A 23,520-nucleotide genomic window follows, 5' to 3' on the forward strand; every position below is an offset into this window, starting at 1 on the left:
ACCTTTATAAGAGCAGCTTCAGTGGAGTGATGAGGGAAAAGCCAGACTGAAGTGGATTGAAAAGTGAGAAGTGATTAAGTGAAGGTGGTATGCCTTGACTATTTTAAAAACCTTGGCTGTGATGGGAAGGGGAAGAGAGTTGATAGCTGGAATGTAGTGCCAGATTGCGGGAAGGTTTGTTGTTTTGTTTTGTTCTAGATACTAGAGACAATTTATGGAGAAGGAACCTGTGGAGAAAGGAGCATCTGAAAATGTAGTCTGTTCTTAATATCCATGAGGCATTGGTTCCAGGATCCCCCTCAGATACCAAAATTTGAGTATTCAAGTCCCTGATATAAAATGGCATAGTATTTGCATATAACCTATGCACGTATACTTTAAATCATCTGTAGATTACTTATAATACCTAATACAATGTAAGTGCTATGTAAATAGTTGTTATACTTTATTGTTTAGGGAATAGTGGAAAGAAAGAATAGTCTATACATGTTCAGTATAGTTGCAATTTTTTTCTGAATATTTTCAGTCCATGGTTGGTTGAATCCGTGATGCAGAACCAACCAGATATGGAGGATTGACTATATATGTAAAAGATTGAGATTAACCTTGAATTGTGGAGGGACAGAGGTTTGTCTGTTACCAACAGGAAAGAGGATAATAGGTAAGGATGCTGATGACTTTATAGAGGGTTGGTGGGAAACAGTTCTTTCTTGGTGCCTTAATGTTTTCTGAATTAAAGAAGATTGAAATAAGATAACTCTACTGTTATTTATTTATTTATTTTTGAGCTGCTGTTACGCACCAGACGGTCACTGTGTTTGCCTCACATGCATGTCCTCTTTTACACCTCTAATAACCCTCATGCAGTATAGGTAAAGATGGCCCCATTTTACGGGCAAGGGAACAGACTCAGCAAGGTTAAGTTACTTGATGAAATCACAAGCCCGCAAGTTGCATGTCTGTATTAAGTCTAGGGTTGACGGTCTTTTCTATTACATTATATACTTTGTCTGCTGAGTGAGAAGGGGCTGAGGTAGATGTCTGGAAGGCAGGTGGAGTGGTTTTGTCATTCAAGTTCCATCTCCTTTCTCCTCTCCCTGTGGCAGTCAGCTCCTCCCTTCCTGGTTACTCTGACATACTCATGATTTACCAAAGAATTAAGTAGCCAGTTTTCTTCTTAACAAGTTCTGCCACTATTCCAGCTGACTTTTTTTTTAATCCATCTGACTTCTGTTTCTGTGTCATTTGGGCTGCACTCCCATGGTTACACCTTCGAAATGGTCTTCTGACAGAATTGTTTCATCACTAAAATCTTAGATTCTAGTGTTACTTCTTATTTTCTTAGAAACCTAGCCTGAGACCTCTTGGAGCCCTTCTGGTTGCTGGACCTTTCCTTTTTGCTTGGTCAGTTAACCCTATTTACCCTCACTTCCTTCCCTGGATCCCTACTGCCCATCATTTCACCCCCTGCTTGTGGTGCCATTTTGTTTTCCTGACTGTTCTGCAACTTTCTTCCCTCTCCCATCCTAGGCCATTAAAAACACCTGACTTTTTTTAAGTTTGTTGAGAGCTGTTGAAATTTAAAGGTATTCTCAACAATGTGGTTTTTGCCTTAATTGTTACTGAAACTCAGTTGTGCCTTCAAGTTTATCAAAACTAGACCAATTCTACACCCTTACATACAGGATAGCAACAGTTTGTCCACATCTCAGGTATGGCAGTATCAGTTTAAGCCATATTGTTCATTTATCTCAGCATGTATATGACTGTTTAGAAATTGTGTTTACATAAGATCCCTCTGAGCCATTTTAGTGCCTGTGGTAATTTTGGTTCTTCCATTGGTTAGGAACGGGATTTTCCAACAGAAACCATTAAATTTGGTCCTGAACGCATGTATATTGATTGCTGGGTAAAAAAACACACCTATGACACCTTTAAGGAGGTTCTTGGATCAGGGATGCAGTACCACTTGCAGGTAAGTGTCATCCTTTCTACATATTTGCTTTTAAAGTAGGGAGCAGTCTTGAATATAGCTCACTTAATTGGCTTTTGAAATTAATTAGGTATCCAGAGTGCTTCCACATGTTAGAAAACAGTAAACTTGTTTTTGAAAGTAGACTTGAATAAATCTGAAGCTGTTCCTTTTTTTTTCTTTGTATTGTTAAAGTTGGGTGGACGGTTACTGATGTCTGTATGAAAGCAAATAGCTTGACATAGCTGTCTTGGATTCAAGGCATTGAAAACAATTTGCTTTCTATTGAGAAACAGAAAATAAGTGATCTAAGTTTATCTGTGGGTTCCACATAACTTCTGTTAATCAGAGTCACTCTGTCTAGTGAAAAAGAGCTATAATGTTTAATACTGAGCCATACCACCTTTTTCTTTCACATAAGTCAAATGAATTCCTTCGAAATGTATTTGAACTTGGACCCCCAGTGATGCTTGATGCTGCAACGCTTAAAACGATGAAGATTTCTCGTTTCGAAAGGGTAGGTTTTGTTTTTATTTTTAATAAAACTAAGTGCGCCAAAGCTTTGATTCTGTCTAGTGTCAGCAACTTAGCTGTGTCTACCTATATGTGGAGTTTTAGTTTTTCATGATGCTTCACATAGAATAGCTGTACTAAAGATACAGAAAGCATTTAGAGTGTGGGGGGCGTGTGTGTGTGTGTGTGTGTGTGTGTGTGTGTGTGTGTATATATGTGTCAGCCTGGGTGACACGAGTGGGACCTTGTCTCAAAAGCAAAACAGAGAAAAGAATATTGCTGCTTGTTTGCCCATTAGGTGTATTTCTTTCATTTTATGAAACATATTTTGACAACACGTTAAAATTTAATATGTACATATATATTTTACGTATAATTCTATCTTAATATAGGAACGGTGTTCATTATTTGTTTCTTTTTATTCTTTGGAGTTTTTATGTTTAAGAATAAGTATTTACATAGTCCTTTTGTATCAGATAATAGCCTGCTAAGTGAAGTACCAGACTCGTTTTACAAATGAGGAAACTTAAGAGAGTTAAATAGTAATTAATATCATTTTTACTTAACATTTCTTTTTTTTTTTTTGAGATGGAATCTTGCTCTGTCACTCAGACTGGAGTGCAGTGGTGCAATCTCGGCTCACTGCAACCTCTGCCTCCCAGGTTCAAGTGATTATCCTGCCTCAGCCTCCTGAATAGCTGAGATTACAGGTGTGCATTACCACACCTGGCTAGTTTTTGTATTTTTAGTAGAGACAGGGTTTTGCCATGTTGGCCAGGCTAGTCTCGAACTCCTGACCTCAGGTGATCCACCCACTTTGGCCTCCCAAAGTGCTGGGATTACAGGCATGAGCCACCATGACCAGCCTGCATTTCAAAAATCCTTAATTTATGTATTTTTTTTTGTGCTGAGATGAAATTCATATAACAGACTATTTTAAAGTATACAGTTCAGTGGCACTTATTACATTCATGATGTTGTACAACTCTAGTTCCAAAACATTATCACCTCAAAAGAAAACCTTCTGTTCATTAGCAGTCACTTCCCTTGTGCTACCCCCCGCCACTGGCAACCGCTAATCTGCTGTCTCTGGATTTACTTTTTCTGGAGATTTCATACAAATGGAGTTATATAGCATGCAACCTTTTGTGTCTGGCTTTTTTCATTTAGCATAATGCTTTGGAGGTTCATTCATGTTGTAGCATGAATTCAGAGAGCTTTATTCTTTTTTGTGGCAGAATAATATTCCATTGTATGGATATATATCACATTTTGTTTATCCATTTTAACAGTTGATGGACATTTGGGCTGTTTGCATCTTTTGGCCGTTGTGAATAGTGTTGCTCTGAACATTCACATACAAAATTTTTTTTGAAAGGCTCTTTGCAATTTTGGGAGGTATTACCTAGGAGTGGAATTGTGCTGGGTCAGATGATAGTTTTACATTTAACTTTCTCAGAAACCACCAAACTCTTTTCCATAGCTGCTGCACCAGTTTACATTCTCATCAGCAATGTAGAAAGAAAGGTTCCAGTTTCTCCACATCCTCACTAATAATTATTTTAATTATAGCCATTCTGGTGGGTGTGAAGTGTTTAATTACATTTTATAGAACCTGGATATTTTATCAGTTTTATATCCACATAATTGTTTCTTGTACGGCATTTTAAGTTTTTTTTAAGAAACATTAATATTTTTACATACTTCTCTCTTTTGAATAATTTTTTTGAAGAAATCCCCTGCATAATGTATTGCCAAATTACTTTCCAAAGTTACTCTTATATTGGAGACGATATTTAAATTGTCTCCAGCAATGAATGAAGGCATGTAGCTGTTACACAAAGATTTGACACCATTGAGTTTTATAATTTAAAAAATGTGTTTATTTAATTGATATTAAAATGGCACTTCATCACTTTTTTCCTTGTTCTAATTGACAGCCAAGTAGGACTATTTTCTGCATTAGTCATGATTTGTCTTTTCTTGGATGAAACAATGTTGATGTCCATTTTTCACTGTTGGTTTTTGAAATCGTCTAACTTTCTTGGCGTTTTACAATTTGATTAGTACTTTTCTTAATATGGAATAGCCATTAACTCTTTATTTATTTATTTTTTTTGAGACGGAGTCTCGTTCTGTTGCCCAGGCTGGAGTGCAGTGGCGTGATCTCGGCTCACTGCAACCTCTGCCTCTCGGGTTCAAACGATTCTCCTGCCTCAGCCTCCCGAGTAGCTGGGACTACAGGCATGTGCCACCATGCCTGGCTAATTTTTTGTATTTTTAGTAGAGACGGGATTTCACCGTGTTAGCCAGGATGGTCTCAATCTCCTGACCTCGTGATTCGCCCACCTCGGCCTCCCAGAGTGCTGGGATTACAGGTGTGAGCCACCTTGCATGGCCCCTGTTAACTCTTTGTTTTTCTCCTTCATTCTTTGTGTGTGTTTTATAAACATTTAAATGTTTATAGGGTCAAATTAGTTCATTTCTTTTCTTTGTGACTTTTACCCTTTTTCTGTTTTGTAAGAATATCTTAAGTCTTACTGATGCACGTTTTTCCTTTTTTTCATTTTAGCATTTATATAACTCTGCAGCCTTCAAAGCTCGAACCAAAGCTAGAAGCAAATGTCGAGATAAGAGAGCAGATGTTGGAGAATTCTTCTAGATTTTCAGAACTTGAAGACTATTTTCTAATTTCTATTTTTTTTTCTATTTCAATGTATTTAAACTCTAGACACAGTTTTTATCCTGGATTAACTTAGATAACTTTTGTAGCAGTGGTTATATTGCTTATAATTTAATGTACAATACTATTGAAACTGGTGAGTTCTGATTATTAAATATTCTCTGTAAATCAGTAAACATGTATAAAGTATTTGTAATGTTTGGTCATAATTTATTTATGAAGACAGCAAAAGACTGATTTCATGATGGGGAAAACAATTAGCCAAAGTTTAATTTCTTACACTGTGGTTGTCAAGAATACTGATTTACTATAATGATATATACATGCAAGATATTTAACTTAATATCTTAGACAAGAGTTCTGGGTACAATTTTGGGATCTAGTTCCCCTGGAAAAGCTGCTGTATTTTTAATTTTTAATGGAATGTAGCTTTTAAAATCCTGTCACTGGCATCAACAAAAGGAATTATACCATGAGACCTTATAGCTGTACTTAAAAGCCATTCAGTTCAGCTATTGGGAGTTCATGATGAATTAGCATATGCCAGAAAGGTTGCTAACCTTAACATCTGAGAGCAGTAACACTGATTTTATCTGCTGTATGAGACTTTGTGCATTTTACTTTGAAATAAAGATTTTTTTCCACACTGAAAGTGCTTCTCTTCTAATAGAAGAAATATTATTTATGGCTTTGAGGTACAGAGTCCAAAATGACTAGGCCAGGTGGGCAGGGAGACAAAGCTTTATGTGTATATTTACAAACATTAAAGTAGATGAAAAGAATGTAGCAATACATAATTGGGATTAAGGTTTCTGACTTTCAAGAATATTTCTGCTTGGCAACATGCAGTGTGGCTCATGCCTATAATCAGCACTCTGGGGAGGCTGAGGCGGGAGGATGGCATGAGCCCAGTTTGAGACCAGCCTGGGCAACATAGCGAGACCCTGTCTCTACCAGAAATTTAAAAAATGAGTGTGGTGGTGTGTGCTTCTACTCTTTATCTACTTGGGTGCTGAGGCAAGAGGGTAACTTGAGCCCAGGAGGTCAAAGCTGCAGTGAGCCGTGATTGTGCCACTCCAGCCTGGGTGACGAGTGAGACCTTGTCTCAAAAGCAAAACAAAAAAGAATATTGCTGCTTGTTTGCCCATGAGGTATATTTCTTTCATTTTATGAAAAGCATTTTGACAACACGTTAACATTTAATAAACTTTAGATTAAAATATATAGTGCAAGCAACATGCCATTTCAAATCCGTAGACTTGTTTCTTTGATACTCTTGCTGTAGGTCGCCGTGAGGGGTAGGGAAGCATATATACTGTAGGGAGAAGTATCAAAATCATTTAAGGTCTTTTTTCCAAACTAGTGTTCCCCTCCCACATCCCAACAACTCTTGGAAGTCTGGTGCTCCCTCTAGGTGAAAATCATTTGCTGGCTTATGGAGTCACTGTTGCTGAGTCCCATCCCCCAGTTACAGTGCAGTGGAAAACAGGTTTAGAATCTAGAACTTGTTTGTATGTTGTCACTTGGTTATGTTCCAAGTAGGTTAGAACCATGGAAAAGAGATTGCAAATGGTAGTTTCTTCTAGATATTCAAATGCATATATGTATGTACATGTAATTATAAATAAATAATGAATTTTTATTAAAGTGTTGTATGAACATAGGTTTTTGTTTGTTTTTGAGACAGTCTCCCTCTGTTGCGCAGGCTGGGGTGCAGTAGCGCAATCTTGGCTCACTGTAACCTCTGCCTTCAGGGTCCAAACGATTCTCCTGCCTCAGCCTCCTGAGTTGCTGGGATTACAGGTGTGTTCCACCACACCTGGCTAATTTATATTTTTAGTTGTGATGGGGTTTCACCATGTTGGCCAGGCTGGTCTTGAACTCCTGACCTCAAGTGATCTGCCCGCCTTGGTCTCCCAAAGTGTTGGGATTACAGGCATGAGCCACCGTGCCCAGCCTGAACATAGTTTAATGGTACTTCAAGGCTAATAAGGAAAGCCCCTTGCTCCATCCTTTCCTATTCCTCAGTCCCATCCCAAGAGACATTCAGCCTTCAGTTTTTTCTAGCTCGGTTCTTTCAGCCTTCAGTTTTTGGTTTTAGGTTTCTAAATAATATGATTATACAGCCATTTATTTTTTAGGTGTTTGTCAACTTACTATTAAGACAGGTGAAAATTTCTTTTATTGTTTCACATCCTTCTAATATTATTTTGGTTAGATCATGTACCTGTTTGCATAGCTGTGATCATACTTGTATGTTCACTCGTGAATTAATTTAATGTGCTTACATTTTCATTCTCATACAACGTTTTGTCTTGGAGTTAATGCTCTTTTTTTTGGCTTTTTATGCACATCATTGATTCTTCCCAAACAGTCCCAAATAAATTTGTCACAACTTTTCTTGATTCTGTACTTGTTTCAATCTAGACTAGTTTCTCTCATCCAATTGTATAGCAGTTTTCCTGAGACAGCACTATCGTGAGGATTTGTTTTTCTTTCTCTTGAATTGTATCCCTCATTTTCTGGATCCCATGTCTTAATTTACTTCTTTGTTAACATGGAGCACTTCTTTCAGTAGTTTCTTGGGAATGAGTGCGTGAGAGATCAGTCAGTTATTTAGTGACTTCATATTTCTGAAAGATAGTTTGCATGGAAATTCTAGGTGGAAAATCAAATTTGGAATTTTTGAAAATTTTGACAAGTGTATTCAAATTCAGAATTTTGAAGGCATTGCTCTATTCTAATTTGCAAAATCTTGAGATATCTGATGCAGTTTTTATTTTTATTTCTTTGTTTTCTCAGCATCTCTGTTTCTAGTGTTCTAAAATTGCATGATACTGTGCTTTGGTGGGATTGGCAACCTGGAAAATATTAAGTTCTTCATCTCTTCTCTTCCTCCTCATTTTCTTTGTTCTGGAACTCTATGACATAGTGGAGCTCCCAAATTGAATCTTGGGCCTTATTTATTTTTTTTTTTTCTGTCTGGGATATTTCTCTAAGACAATTTTCCAATTTGTATTGCATTTTGTTTTTGGCTAGCATTAAATTACTTGCCTCTGTGTAGCTCCATGCCACACTCTTGCCTCTAAATCCTAGGCCTGCCTGAATTCTGCAGGATCAGTCCTACTGTCACTCATCTGTGATAGCCCTGCTAAGGCAGATACCACTCTTCTTACCATGTTCAATACATTTATTGAGCTCTTCAGTATTGTTTCTTCCTATTTTAATTTTTCTGGTTTTGTAATTTGTACTCCTGCTTTTTTACTGGGCTTTTGGGAGGAAGAAGGTATAGAGTGTTAATCTGCATGTTGAATTTATATGCAGGTGACTTTATTCATGAAACTTGTGGTAACTGCTAGACAAGGGTGGCTGGGTGTTCAATGTGTAAGAATGCTTGTGTTTTCTTGAAAGTAGAAAAATGTTGTGTTATAGACTAGTTGTTCATTGCTTGATTCTTGATTAATTTTGCCCGCTTTCATTATTTTGAGGCTCAAGCATTTTGAAGTATTCATTGTCTGTGACTCCTCTTTGATGGGTACTAAATTTCCTGGGAGTGAATTTAGATACCCTGAGATGTAATATATGAAAGAAAAAGCAAATACTTGAGAATGTCCCTAGATTAGACACTTCATGTGAGAATATCTCTTTTTGTGACCCAAAACTCTTTTTTTTTCTTTTGAGATGAAGTTTCGTTTTTGTTGCCCAGGCTGGAGTCCAATGGTATAATCTGCCTCAGCCTCCTGAGTTGCTGGGATTACATGCATGTGCCACCACACCCGGCTAATTTTGTATTTTTAGTAGAGATGGGGTTTCTCCTTGTTGGTCAGGCTGGTCTCGAACTTCCGACCTCAGTTAATCTGCCTGTCTCGGCCTCCCAAAGTGCTGGGAATACAGGCATGAGCCACCGCACTCGGCCCCAAAACTCTTCTTAAAGGTGGTCTTGCAGGTATGTTATAGTTAAAATGAAGTAGGTTGTCTTGCTTTGTTCTTAAGTGGCTTTCCAGAAGTCTAACTGGTCTAAAGGCAGTCTTATCCCCCTCACTGGTGTATAGTTCAATTCAGACTTGAATGCGAGGTATGGGTTTACATCTCATCTCTGCCACTTATAATCAGTGTATCCCTCAACAATTAAATTCCTTAGTCTCCATTTCCTTCCTCCTTCAGGGGAAGTTAATATTCCACAAAGTTAGAAGTTACAGGAGAGGAAAAGTAGTAAACGCCCCAAAATGAGGCAGTTACTTCTATTATATCTTCAAAGGATACATGGCTCAAGGCAGATCAGGTAGTTGGGAGATTTCTTAAAAACAGCATAATAGCTAACATGAACATTTTCATTATTCAGAGAAATTTGACATAGCTTTTTAACGTATGTTTCTGAGAAAAGTTACTAGTTATATTGTCTTCCTCCAAGAATTAGTCTTTGGGTACAGATGAGGCTTGAAAAAATGACATTCCCTCTTAGACTAGGTAGTGTGAAGGGAAAAAAAAAATGACATTCCTCTTCCCCCAAAGCAGAGTGAGGTCCGTATGGGATATAGGTGTAAAGAAAATTTTGGGCCGGGCATGGTGGCTCAAGTTTGTAATCCCAGCACTTTGGGAGGCCGAGGTGGGTGGATCACTTGAGGTCAGGAGTTCAAGACTAGCCTGACCAACATGGTGAAACCCCATCTCTACTAAAAATAAAGAAATTAGCCAGCTATGGTGGCACATACCTGTAATCCCAGCTACTTGGGAGGCTGAGGCAGGAGAATCTGGAAGCAGGAAGGTCTCAGTAGGCTGGGATCATGCCACTGCGCTCCAGCCTGGGCAACACAGCAAGACTCTGTCTCAAAGAAAATTTTGTGGAACACCTATTTTCTCACTGACATGAAAAATGTTTCAAAGATGAATAATGTCCATCAAGCTATGGCAATGGAAGTGAGGATGATAAAGGATTGCACAGTTGTTCACAACCTCACTGTTAGTATCCTGCTGAGATAGTTGGTCTCCTCATCACTGTAGCATCTTTTATGTACAGCAGAGGGCAGAAGCTCCTTGGCATGTATGTGAGGGAACCACATATATGGAAGGCTGTTATTCCTGAGAAAGGAGGATGTGCAGACACTCACAGAACAAAGCCTTTGTAAAGGAAAGGCGGCCGATGAGATGGAGTGCTTCCTTCACCTGTGGTGGGTCTGTATCCATGAAATCGCCCACTCACAATCGCTTTTTGTAGCTACTGGAAGCACTAGGCGTCTGACCTGCCATCATCCTTGTTATGATGTCATAATCATATTCTGTCCGTGTTTATTGCAGTTCTCTGGTTTGTCTGGAGTGTTTGCAAGTCAGTCATCATAGTGGCAGCTTCCGCCTGCTACAGGATATTTATATATGGAAGCATACCATGGCAGGAGTGCTGGAAAGGTGGTGTCAGCTAACAGTTGCTTCAGCCAGATAAGGACGGTAACTTCAGTCCAATAAAAACCTCATCAGTTACCAACTAAATCAGGGCATGGTGTTTTTTTGTTGTTTTCTTTTTAAAGCATAGTTTTAGTAATATATTTACTAAAAACCTTAGACATTATGAAAAAAGTCAGGATTTGGAATCTTACACTGCTTGGCTAAATTGACACAATATAGACCAACAGTTTCATCCTGGGGCTTATGGGTCTCATAGGAGCACCCGTATGCTGAAGAAAGGCAAAGAGAGAACTACAGAATTTGTAGAAAAGTTTTGTTGTAGTTGCTTCTGAACAATTAGTTTTTGTTTGTTTGTTTTGTTTTGTTTTGTTTTTCTGGTAACCTAGCAGTCAAAGCTCACATTTTTGTAAGTAATTTGCATGCTATTACTCTACTGAGACTGAATTATGATTCTCGAGTCTGGGAAGTTTTTGTTGCATGTGCTCTGTGTTTTTCATTTTTGATAGAAATGATTTAGACTTGATTTTAAAAATTACTTCCTGAATGTGAAGAGGCATTGACTGGGAAATGAAATTAAAGAACAAATTACCATGACTCATTCAATAACACTGCTTATTAGCTTTGAATTATGCCCTATTATAACAATTCTGATTTTGTGGCAAGCAATACTGGTGTGAGTTATTTCTGTGGTTTGATACCAAGCACCTGCCTGGTTAAAAAATAAAGCACCAGGCAATTTTTCATAGACAATTATCTTTATTTGTTGGAATATTTATTTGTAAATAGTCAAAGAATTCTTAAATGACAAAAAATCAACTGTTAGCAGTGATCTAAACCAGAGGAAAATGAAATTACTTACATGTTTCCAGTCAAGGTATAAGAAAGGGTTCTGTTAAAGGGATGCTGCTTTAGCCAATCTTGGTGAATAAGCAAATTTGCACACTGGAGTTGAAAGGAGGGTCAAGTTAGTGTGATGAAGAATTGCTAGTAACACTGGCTTCTCCAGCCTTGCTGGTTGTTCCTAGATGCCCTCATTTGGAGATGCCAAAGATAGCAACTACTGGGTGTCAAACAGCCGTGGGGCCTGGTTTTAAGGCCATGTGATCTTGTATCCCTTTACTAGCAGCCTCATGAGTCATTTGCAAGTCATTTGCAGGCTCTTGGAGCCCTGGAACAGCACCCAACTCAGTTTTCTCTGCTAGTTCTTTATTTTTCCATTTGCGTGTTGCAGCTCATTAAAAAAATATTGGAATAGCATATATTTACATTGTGACTTCACTCTAAAGAAGACATTTTCTTTCAAAGCACGTCATGGCTCACTAGGTTGTTGTCTTAGTTTTTTTTGGAGTCACCTTTTGAGTAGATAGCAAGACCAGTAATATGGAGATTTTATTAGCTGTACTCTTAAAGTCAGTTTTTGTGGCCATGATTTTCTAGCTAGGTCTCTATTTTGTAAACATTGATTAAGCCTCAGTATGAAATTGAAGCAACAGCAGATACATTCCTGAAGGGGAAGCTAAGGCTCAAGGCTATTAAGTCAGAGATCCAAAAATGAACCATGCTTCAGTTACCACACCTAAAATAGAAGCTGTGTGCAGAACAGTGGTCCTGTGATGTGACACATAAAACTTTTTTTCCTGGTCACATATTACTGTTTGGTCAAATATTAGTATAAATGGATGATAAAATATGAAACACATCTAAAAGAATTGTTTTAAAATCTGTGACTATGCATGAGTGAATATTTTGGGGCCTTGGTTTTAACTGCAAAAGGATAAGATTTGACTGACCTCTAAGGCCCTTTTACTCTATTTGCTGCTGCTTTTTAATTTTTTTTAATTGTCATATCAAGTCATTTCCTTAGGAATGCTCTATGAAGTATATTTGGAATTCAGTAATGTCAATAAAGTGCTATGGTAGTATCTTATCTGAAAACTCAGGGAATTGTTTGTTCTTGTTAATTAAAATTTCAAGATAAGTGAAACACACTTTTTTAGTTTTAACCCTAAAAAAAATTTTTAGTCCATGACTTTTTGAGCTCACTTTCTTAGCTAGGGTTCTGGTAGCACATTTTTCACAAGTACCAGTAGTTTTAGGTATTACTGGGAAATTGTTTTTTTAATATTTTAGACTAAGTTTAAATTGCTCAGTAAGTGTCTGATACTTTTTTTCCCCACATCTTCTTTAGGTGTATACTTTTTTTTTTTTTTTATGAATTTGGTTTCTCCCAACTCTATATTGCTCTTCATTCTGTAGATGAGTTTTAAAGGAAATTTTTGCAACAACAGAAAGTAAACAGTGTGTTGTCAAATACACACAGGCACCATATTTATCGCATTGACTTTACTAGAGTCCAGATAGACATCACATGAGGATTTTTATCCTCAATCTTATTTCTGTTCATGTACTTATTATTAACTGCCTCCAATTCTTTTGAAAATGGTGAGATTTAAATCCTAAATAAACATTTCAGGTGTTCCATCTTAACATAAGTCACCAACTTCTAAACCTGGCACTGGGCATTTGAAGAATAGGATTCGTCCCTACTCTAAGGAGTTTTCAGTCTATCGGGAAATCAAAGATGTAAGCAAATAGATGCAATAAAATACTACAGATGTTCTGATAGAAGAATGTAAAGAATCCAGCAAAGGCAAAAGGAAAGACAGGTTGGTTCTCTCTTCCTAGGGGAAGTGATGTTTGAGCTGAGTCTTGAGGCAGGATTAGGAAGGGATATAGAAAAGAAAAGTAGCACAAAGCAAGACTCATTGAATGCTGAACAAAAGGCCCGATTCCAGCTCTGCTGCCAGGCAAATGTGTGATCCTGGGCATTTACCTCGCCGAGCTTCCATTTCCTCATTTGCGGAAAGGATGGGAACTAAAGCACATCTAACACCCTTTCTAGATCCAAACATCCTCTATCACGATTAGACTTGATAACCATGAAAGGAAAAGCTTTTATAGTAATTGAAATTTGTCTTTCTAGAGGCTTCTTTTCACATAATTAAATGGCCACAAGTTCTCTGTTGTGCTAGAGATACATCTCCACATAAACCTTTTAAACTCTTCAGGATTTTCAGTGTTGCTTGCAGTTGTGCTGTCGTTAGAGAATATTACTTTCAATATTTAATAAACCTCAAGCTATTACATAAGTGACCTCAGTCTAAGGGAAACCCAGGTGGAAGAGATCTCAGAGGTCCTGAAGTCTAGCAGCATTCCTCTCTATAGCAGCTAAGTTTGCTAAGATTGTTGTCTTGGGGACTCACAGTCAGCATCTTATGGCTAAAGGAATTGTGTGAAGAGAAGGACTTACATGCCATATGGAGGGAGGCTATAAAAATTGCAATTTTCTATTAAAGCCTCCTGCAATTAGAATGGTTCATGGTAATATTCTCTTTTTTCAGAATGTTTTGTGGCCACTGCTGACTAGCTTAATTTTGTCTACCTAGTCTTCTTGCACAAAGGATTTGAGGCATCTCACCAGAATGTGAACAATGTAATAAAAGAAAAATTTTAAAATTAGTTACAAAATAAAAACAGATCCAGGGAAAATATAGGCAGAACTGAGACATCTGAGGAGGAGAAAAGAGTGTTTGCAGATAAGCAGGGTATACATGGATGTACAATTCTTAAAATTGGGCCACACATTTGACTGTGAGCTTCCTGGCAAGCAAAGCAAAAAGAACGATTACAAAGTGGTCCACAGAAGGAAATATTTTTTTCTGGATAAGCCAAGTTCTCTAGAGCCTTAGTTGAAAATACTATTTGTGGGTGGTTCTTCATAGGCCTGTCTGGCTTCCTGGTGGCTGTGGTTCTTGTGAAGTTGAGTTCACAAGCCCAACCTCTTGTTTTTAACATCAGTGTTTTCTTCCAGGGACAATGACTCATTCTTCCCAGGACACTGGTTCTTGTGGCATTCAGGAAGATGGAAAGCTTTATGTGGTGGATTCCATAAATGACTTAAACAAACTAAACCTCTGTCCAGCCGGATCGCAGCATCTGTTCCGTATGTGTGCTGGGGAAGGCACAGCAGCCCTTCCTAGCTTCTAGGCTACCTAAAAATAGCCACTGCTGACTGGATGTGTGGGTGTGGTGGAGGGGGAGGGGGCATTAGGAAGAGGTTGGCACTGGAAATGTTATTTGTTGTTGGGCAATTTTGCTTTTGTTTTCTGAATACTTGACAGGATTATGGGCTTTCTTGGATCCTACACGAGATTTGAACTCTTGACTTCAAATATTCTGAGATCCTGTGGCGTTTCTGTCCCTGGAAAGGGGTGGAGCCTGCAGAGCTGGACTCCTGGAGGCTGGCTCATCCCTCTCCTAGTGACCATGGCTAGGTTACCGATGGGGACCACTTCCCACAGGAGTGTTGTTTTATAGCAGATTGCTGAGAGAATGCTCAATCCAGAGCATTTTCTACTTACAAGTTACAAATTGTGCAATTAAGGGTTGGAGAAAGGGGGTGGGGGGAGCAAAATAAAATCTGCTAAATACTAAGTGTGTATCTTGCCTCCTAAATATTATAAATGAGCTTTATCAGATCACTCTGAGTGCCATCTTTTCTAGCTTAAATGCTGACATTCAAACACCAGTGTTAATTGCTCACTTGCCATTTGTTTCATATGCACTCTAAACTTACTGTTCCAATTTTATATCTATTATTTCCTGTCTAAATCCTTTCCAAGTTCCTCCTTTTTTTCTTCATTTTAATAAGTTCAAATTTTCATCTGTTTTTATTGCTGTCAGTCTCAATAGCAGTAGAAGTTTAGGTGTCAGCCCTATGCTGTTGCTTTGATTAGGAAGCAAAAGTGGCTGAAGCGTATGGCATAGGATGTACTTATAAGGCATGGGACATAAGCCACCCATCTGTCCATAATCAAGTGGCACAGTGAGTGGGACCAATTCAACGTAGGAGAGTATGCAAAAAGTAATCCAGTGATCTCCACTACCCCAGGTTTCTGCGTTGCTTATTCACTGCAACAAATAATCTGGGTGTTATTAGGCAACTAGATCTTGCAAAACGGTGATTAAATGCAGTCAATTCTTGGTTTGAGTGAACCAAGCTGTCGATAAAATGTAGCTGCATTCTCAGTTCAACTGCAAAGCATTTAAAAGAACGTTGCTTCCAGAGCATATCCATCCAGAAGACAGCTTTAAAAAACCAAAATAGGTCAGGGCCATTTTTGTTTAAATGGATGTAGGCTTAACTGATTATTCCTATAATAAAAGAAGTTTCCAGGGAAATATCCCAGAGCATTCAATTGAGTCTTCCACCCAGCATAGGTATCCCACAACCAGCTCTGTTTTACTCCTGGGTTACTTTGGGAAAGGGTAATAGAACTTCTATCACTCTTAGCCTTTAACTTCTATATTCCCTCTCCCCACACACAAAAATTCATGTTCTGCTATTTCAGTGTTAAGACAGTCTTCAAAGAACTTTCCAAAGAGGTCTAAGGAGATAGCTTAACCCTGCTTATTCCTTGAATACCAATAGAGAAGAAGGTAAATAATTCACAAATTTCTCTGTGCCCAAAGACATTCCTAAAACAGAAGTCACGGCCGGGCGCCGTGGCTCACGCCTGTAATCCCAGCACTTTGGGAGGCCGAGGAGGGCAGATCATGAGGTCAGGAGATTGAGACCATCCTGGATATCATGGTGAAACCCCATCTCTACTAAAAATACAAAAACTTAGCGGGACGTGGTGGCGGGGGCCTGTAGTCCCAGCTACTCGGGAGGCTGAGGCAGGAGAATGGCGTGAACCCGGGAGGCAGAGGTTGCAGTGAGCCGAGATCAAGCCACTGCACTCCAGCCTGGTTGACAGAGCAAGACTCTGTCTCAAAAAAAAAGAGTCACTTTCTAGGCTTGTCAGAGAGAAAGTGGGTGTGTCCATTACTCACGGTCTAACACTGGGGTACTGTTCAGTTCTGCTGACAAGTTGTATGCTGAGCAGTTTTTGTCCTTGTTTTTTGTTTGTTTCATATTAGCTCTAGAGGACAAAATCCCAGTCCTTGGCACAAACTCAGGAAATGGAAGCCGGAGTCTGTTTTTTGTGGGGCTGCTAATTGTGCTGATTGTCAGCCTGGCACTGGTTTTTTTCGTGATATTTCTAATAGGTAAGTACCACCACAGGTTTCTTTTTTATTACTTGTATGCATTTATTCATAGCTGGTTAACTTTGCTCCCACAAAGTTTGCACCCTCCAGTCAATGCTTCCTGGTCATCAATGCTTACATTGAAAAAAGAAGGAATGCCTTGAGTGAACACCACTGGCTGAGGACAGGGTCCCTTGGCCACAAACCCACTGCAGAAGCCCATAGTGCCAGAAGTCCATGAATATGTATGTTAAATAATTCTATAGCACTTTAGTTTCTCACTTGGAGCCTCTAGCTGCCCAATGGAAGGCAACTTATTCTGGTTGATTCTAGCTTTACTTTATCCAATGCCTAGATTTCTCCACTAAATTCAGATCTATAACATCGAAACATTGAGGTTTCGAACTGAACTCGCTCCCAGGTTTTCTCACTTGCATATCATCCTAGACATCAATGAGAAGCACTTGAGGGCTTGTGCAAGGCCCCAGAGACAGTGTTGGAGATGTATAAAGGTGGCTTCTTTCCAATTTGATCCTGTCCAGGCAACCTACTCCTAATATAACCTGCTTTGTCTGCTCTTGGCCTGGGCCATGCATGTCGTGACCTTGAGTGGTGACTCAGGCTTCCCCACCTCAGCTTCTCAGTCAAGAGATCCTTCAAGCCTTCAGCGCCACCCTCCTCTCTGCCTTGGATGTGGGAGGGGTGCTGTCCACCTGCGGTGCTGTCTTCCCGTTCTGAGCGTTGCCTCTTCCCACAGAGCCCACCAGTTTCCTCTCTCATCTGGAATTATTTTGATTCTCTTCCAGATGACTTAAGAGCAGACAGAGCCTAAGGGAAGGTGTCATCTTTGATACCTTTTTGCCTGGGTGCACTGCACTGTCATTTCTTTCACCCTTGAGTGCTTTGTAGCCTTTGGAAGGGCTCTAATTTAATTTCATTCAGGATTAGAGGAGGCAGAGGTGATGATGACGATGAGAGAAGACAGGTGGGCAGAGTTCATGATGACCCTTTCACCGCTTCCAATCCCATTTCCTCCCCCAAAGACTCCTCCCTCCTTACAGCTTGAAGGTCTTTATCTAGCCTCTGGAGAAAAGGGTTGGGACTGGGAGGGAGGGGTCATGTTTAATTGCTTCTCTTGCACCGGGCTGATGACCTTTTGCATTTAGAAGCTAACATGTGTACTATTTTTACAATAGTTGCAAACTTGCATCTGATGATGAATTAGGGGAGGCTTGGCTACTGAACCAGCAATGCCAGAAAGAGCACATGCGCTAGTATTCTGAACCGTTACTCCAACATAAATTAATACTGGGCATGTCATCCTGCCACACCCGCCTGGGGGTAATGACGGAGTTAAACTATTAGGAAATTTTAGGTATGTCTACAGACATGTAAACAACCCTCTGCCAAATTCTTTTTTTCTGTGAGATAAGTAGCAAGATTGAGGGAAATAATACCAAATGCTATATATTGAGTCATTACTCTGTCCCAGACACTGTGCTAAGCCCTTGATACCTCTTTGCTCACAACCTCATAACAACTCTGTAGTGTAGAATCCATTATTATTATTATTATTATTTTTATTTTTAAGATGAAATCTCACTGTTGCCCAGGCTGGAGTGCAGTGGCGTGATCTCAGCTCACTGCAATGCCACCTCCAGGTTCAAGCGATTCTCCTGCCTCAGCCTCCCAAGTAGCTGGGACTACAGGTGTGAGCCGCCATGCCCAGCTAATTTTTGTATTTTTAGTAGAGATGGGGTTTCACCATGTTGGCCAGGCTGGTCTCGAAATCTGGACCTCAGGTGATCCTCCCGCCTTGGCCTTCCAAAGTGCTGGGATTATAGGCGTGAGCCACCGTGCCCAGCCAAATCCATTATTATTTTGGTTTTACCAGTGCTGAAACTGAGATTTAGAGAGATCTATTAATGTGCCCAAGGTCACGTTGCTAATAAGTGCCAAAATGGGGCTCAAGGATACTCCACTTGACATCAAAGACTATGTACTTTATCAACATCACTATGTTCCACTTTTATGAATAGCTTTTATTTTATATTTGCCTTGAGTGTTTTTTATTGAGAACAAAGTCATATTAAATGAGAAACAGAAAGATCAGGTGAATAAAGAAGAGTGTTTTTTTACTGGATAATTGCTCTGTGTTAGATACATTAAGTTTATTATCTTAAATCCTTCCTCTAGCCATCTTAGAAAATTTAACTCTGATAAGCAAACCTCAAAGTGTTCCATTCCGTATCTTATTGCCAAAGGTCCTGTGTATTTGGAAAATATTGTTCTTCCATTCTAATGGGTGGTCTGAGGGGGAATTATTACACATTCATTTTGGGCTGGTAATTCAGAACAAGCAGACTTATGTCAAAATAGGCTGGAACCCAAAGAATGTAATTTCTCAAATGAGCAAAAACCTTTTTCTGAGAATGGGTCTCAAAATAAAGCAACATAGCAATCACTTCTGGGAGGATAATCAAACATGCTGACAGCTTCCTTTGGTTGCTCACAGCAAGGTCTTTTTTAGCCATAATTGGTGTGAAGTTGCCAAAGGTAGTCTAGGTTGGCACCAAGAGATTGTAAAAACAATTCACTGGATAGGCAACTTCAGCCTTCACCAGTTTCTCTACTGGGCTTCTGGCATGCATGGATATGGGAACAGGGGATTTGCCAAGAGTGTCTTTCAGCATCAGCTGAGCACCAACATGGGGATCTGATGAATTTCAGTGGAACACAGTGGAAACCAATGTAACACAGTCTGTTTTCTGTTTTGAAGTTCAAACTGGAAACAAGATGGATGATGTGTCAAGAAGACTAACAGCTGAAGGAAAAGACATAGATGATCTTAAGAGAATCAATAACATGATCGTAAAGCGACTCAACCAACTCAACCAACTGGACTCTGAACAAAACTAAAGGAATGATTTTCTGAAAGCACCTGCTAACACCTTGAGCTTTTTACTTTCCTGGGAGTGTACAGGGTTAGGAACTGAGAAAGTGCACTTCCTCAGGCAACAGATGATCTGGTCAGGCAACCCACCCCTGGGGCCCACTTTCTGCAGCAAGATGGGAGCAATTCCAAGGCAAGTGGGTATGGGAATAGCAACTAAAAAGGGGTGAACTTGTCTCAGCCCCCTTTTATGGTAGGGCACTTCAACTTTAATGGGGTGGGCGGCTAGCAGGGAGGAGAATCAACAAAGCAAGAGAACTTGACTATGTACGTCCAACTTCTTACAGAAGGAGCTTTGCTACCAGAACAAGTTCACTGTGTCAATGAAGTTCATGACACCTCATGCACCTTTACAGATATCTGGGAAAGCCTGAGAAATTCATTGAGTTTTATGTATTGAAGGGAACCAGGTGATTACTCTTTTCAATAAGAGGGATTCTGCTCAGGTGATTAGACTTTGACTCTATTTCCCCAGGGACAGTGATGGGTGGGCCCCAGAGCTAGTTGCTGTCTGGTGTTTGCTGGTGAAAACATGAGCAGTAGTTATGTGGGGCTGAGAGTCAAAAGGGAAAGCCTAATTAATTCAACTAATGTTTATTAAGCTCCTACTCTGTGCAAATCACTCTACTCAAGAGGAGCTCACATAAGAGTGCAGGATAAAGAAAGGAGATGGACAGTTATATGTAATTATATAAACTTTGTGTATTTTGTTTCTCATGAAAAAACCCCTTTGGCACCCTGCTGATTGATTTGGAAGAAATCTGATAGATTTGTGGCCTTTCCTAAATTGCACTAGGAAATTATGTAGTTAGAATATTTGGAACCTGCATTAGTTCCAGCAATGAAAGTAAGACACACAGCATATGACATAAGACACAGTGTGAAATAAATGAGTTTAAAAAGCATATGAGTCTTAGAAAATCTTTTATTTAATATAAAAATATTCTACCGGTCAATTGAAGAATGTATTATGATTCTATCATTTTGGATTGATCAAAAACATTTGGGTTTACTACGATATTAAGCATTCACTTTACAATACTAAATAGTTAATGAAATAAACACATTTTGCTTACCCAGTTTTGCACTCAAAAACCATTTGTATTAATACTCTTTTTCTTAAAATTGATAGATATCTTGCAGAACACTGTTAAAACGTGAAATTTTCAATTATTGGAAAGTCTTTTTTGACCTATTGATAGGGTATGGCAAAAATCATTTGTTATCACGATTCGTTGTAAAGTTGTTTCAGAAACTGATGATCTGATGCAACAACTCTTTGAAAAAAAAAACACTTATTTCTTTCCTTTCTGTATGCCCTTATTATACTTTTCTCCCTTTTCTATCTAAACTGTGGATATATTTCATCCTCAGTTGTAACCTTTATTCCAAGAAATTTATGGTTTTTACAACATAAAATAGTGTCTGATAAATCATTTTATTCATCTTTTTGGAGCCAATGTTTTTTATCTGTACTGTCCTGCCTGTATTGCACAGACAGAGGTGTGGTGATGCCTCTGACCCTCACAGCCTGGAAGACTTCAGTCACAACAACCCCTGGTATTGGGTATTCGATTCACAAATTAACAACTTCCATTGGACGTGTTTAAAAAGTATTGGCTGGCTACAGATAATCCTATGGTAGTCAAATACAGTGGTTGAGAACATGGACTAGGGGATCCAACATCCTGGTTTGAATCCTGGTGCCACCACTTATTGTGACTTTGGGGAAATTAACTTAATTTTTTGTTTTCAGTAAAATCGAATAATTAGAAAATTGATTTCATAGTATTATTATGAGGCTTAAAAAAGGTTATAAATATAAAGGACTTAAAAATATAAAGGACTAACTCAATAAATGTTAGTTGTTATTATAATGATATTATTGTTAAAAGTAGTAGGTGTGGCATAGTGGAAATAACCGGCTACATTTAAACCTCTATTGGTGAGACTAAGGACAAAACATTTTTTGTGGCATGGTTTAAGATGATAGCCACCCTGATCTCTTCTGAGCAAGGATGATGGGGTGAGAGTCTTTTAGCAAAATAACTCGTTAAGTTACGGTATAACAGGCGATCAGTATAAGCAGGAGGGTTTGTTGTTTTCCAAATGATCTAGTCTGAAGAACATAAGGATCCACATTTACCTACCTGCGATGGAGCCAGGAACCTGTCTGTCTGCCCTGGGCTAAGGGCTTGACCCACAGGGTGCACTGGGAGGAGGGAGTGGGACACTAAGGTAAGGCCCAGGAGAAGCAAAAGGAATAGAAGGGACAGCCGAACCAAGACATGTCCTGATAGGAAAATAAAAGAGAGTTTTGCACCATTCTTTGGACTTTGGCTGTGTTCACAAGAGGCTGAGAGAGAGATGATTGTTCTAGTAACAGACTTTATCTCCACACCCTTCCTGATGTTGCCAGCCATTATGGGAGGATCACACATATCTTCTGACTCCAGGTGCAATGTCATGTACTTTGTATTCTGCCATGAGGACCCTGGAAGAATTTTCTTATAGCCCCACAAAATTGTTCTGTGTTGGTAACCACCTATAGGTGGGCCTGGCCCAGCTCTGCATACCGTGCACTGCTGTGACACCTGGAGGCTGTTGGATCTTGGAGCTACCTGGAACTAGGAGGCCCTGGCTTCTAGTAAGGCCACTGAGCTGCAACCTAAGGGGTACAGGGAACTTATCACTCAGGAATAGACCAGGGTCATCTGGCCAGGACTCTGTCAATGGGCACCAATCCCCAAAGCAAGAACAAAGCAACAAGGAGATATGAAAATAACACAAAACAACTGTTTTGTTCTGGGTAACAATAGCCTGGGGAAAAGGGGAGAATCTTGGTGCGCATGTCATTTGGACTAACTGAGGTATCTTGGAGTATATTGTGCAAACCATCATGTTGTAACAAATTTTTATTGCTTAGAAAAAAAATTAATGGAAACAAGTTCTCCTTGAGTCAGGGCATAAAAATAATTTTATTCCAGCTTAACATAATGACCCTATTTATATTCAGGAGAGAAGGATAAGCAAAAGAGATCGATCATCAGAAAAGACTGGTAATCTATCCCCTCTGTGAATGAGTTTGGCCCCAAGAAGCTGTGAAAAGAAGAGAGAGCCTTAGAACTGTGGTCAGGCAGTGTATTTTCTTTTAAGGAAACATAAAAATGTTCTTACTGGAATCCGTGCAGCCACTTATTTGGTGAAGATGACTTATCAGTAATTTTTTTTTTTTACATAGGGAAAACATTACAGAAATGTAATTCTACTTTTTATGAGGATGAAAATGATTTTTTAAAAAGCACATGAAAAAACAACACAGAAGAAAATTCCATTTGATAAATGGGTACTAGGCATATACACTGTGCCCAGCAGTGGTGCCATGCTGTGCTGGACACTACAAAGGGTGTCAGAGGCAGGGAAATCATGGTCCCTTCAAAGAGGCTTCTGATCTGGTCATGCAAATAAGCCATGTACAGGCAACCAGTAGTGATCTGTAATCATGAATCAGAAATAGCAGTTCCTCAGTGTGCCCATCCGAGTATCACTTGAGAGGCTGGAAAGACCCTGATTCTTGGACTGTGGCCTTGGCTATTCTGACTTAGCAGGCATGGGGTGGGACTAGGAATTCCTGTTATGAAGTGCTGCTGTGATGATTCTGGTGCTCGGTTTGGGTGGCTGGACAGATAACGGATTCAGAATAAACTTGGGTTCTGATTCTGGTTCTATGCACGAGTAACAGTGTGGCCTTGATCATGTTCCTTAATTCCCCTGACTTTCAGCATTTTCTTCTGTATCATGGGAGGGTGTTGCTGCTGGTAAGAATAAGGGAGTTGACACAAAGCCCTTCAGTCTCTGTGTTGTTTACAGGTCACTAAAAAATTAAATGAACTTAAATTGTATATTAAA

The 23,520-nt window shown here is 39.3% G+C and overlaps 2 protein-coding genes across 11 annotated transcripts in view; both read left to right on the forward strand.

Annotated features, from left to right (window-relative positions):
- The window catches only part of IFRD1 (interferon related developmental regulator 1), a 54,030-nt gene extending 47,199 nt beyond the window's left edge, over nt 1-6,831 (forward strand). For 4 of the 5 annotated variants that reach the window (NM_001007245.3, NM_001197080.2, NM_001550.4 and 1 more), the window contains 3 exons: nt 1,847-1,975; nt 2,394-2,489; nt 5,058-6,831. In NM_001007245.3, coding sequence (NP_001007246.1) covers nt 1,847-1,975; nt 2,394-2,489; nt 5,058-5,147 — 315 coding nt within the window. In that variant the 3' untranslated portion in view covers nt 5,148-6,831. Of the gene's footprint in view, nt 1-1,846; nt 1,976-2,393; nt 2,490-4,769; nt 4,864-5,057 lie in introns of all 5 variants that reach the window. The other variant, NR_120333.1, reaches the window with a different exon arrangement.
- LSMEM1 (leucine rich single-pass membrane protein 1) lies at nt 9,932-20,690 on the forward strand. Of its 6 annotated transcripts, none has more exons than XM_011516074.3 (4): nt 9,932-13,234; nt 14,440-14,571; nt 16,551-16,679; nt 19,438-20,690. In XM_011516074.3, the coding sequence occupies exons 2-4, from the start codon at nt 14,445-14,447 to the stop codon at nt 19,575-19,577; spliced, it is 396 nt and encodes a 131-aa protein (XP_011514376.1). In that variant the 5' UTR covers nt 9,932-13,234; nt 14,440-14,444; the 3' UTR covers nt 19,578-20,690. The 6 variants fall into 6 exon arrangements, with proteins under 6 accessions (XP_011514376.1, XP_016867517.1, XP_011514378.1 ...); XM_011516076.3 differs by having other exon boundaries at nt 10,481-10,610; nt 13,042-14,571; NM_001134468.2 differs by having other exon boundaries at nt 10,481-10,610.
- The last annotated feature ends 2,830 nt before the right edge of the window (nt 20,691-23,520 follow it).

This window comes from Homo sapiens, chromosome 7, assembly GCF_000001405.40.
Source record: "Homo sapiens chromosome 7, GRCh38.p14 Primary Assembly".
NCBI lineage: Eukaryota > Metazoa > Chordata > Mammalia > Primates > Hominidae > Homo > Homo sapiens.

Coding starts and splice junctions, on each gene's coding strand:
- LSMEM1 (XM_017012028.3), top strand. CDS start 14,445: ATGACTCATTCTTCCCAGGACACTGGTTCTTGTGGCATTCAGGAAGAT. Junction 14,572..16,550: donor CGGATCGCAGCATCTGTTCC/GTATGTGTGCTG, acceptor GTTTCATATTAG/CTCTAGAGGACAAAATCCCA. Junction 16,680..19,437: donor TTTCGTGATATTTCTAATAG/GTAAGTACCACC, acceptor TCTGTTTTGAAG/TTCAAACTGGAAACAAGATG.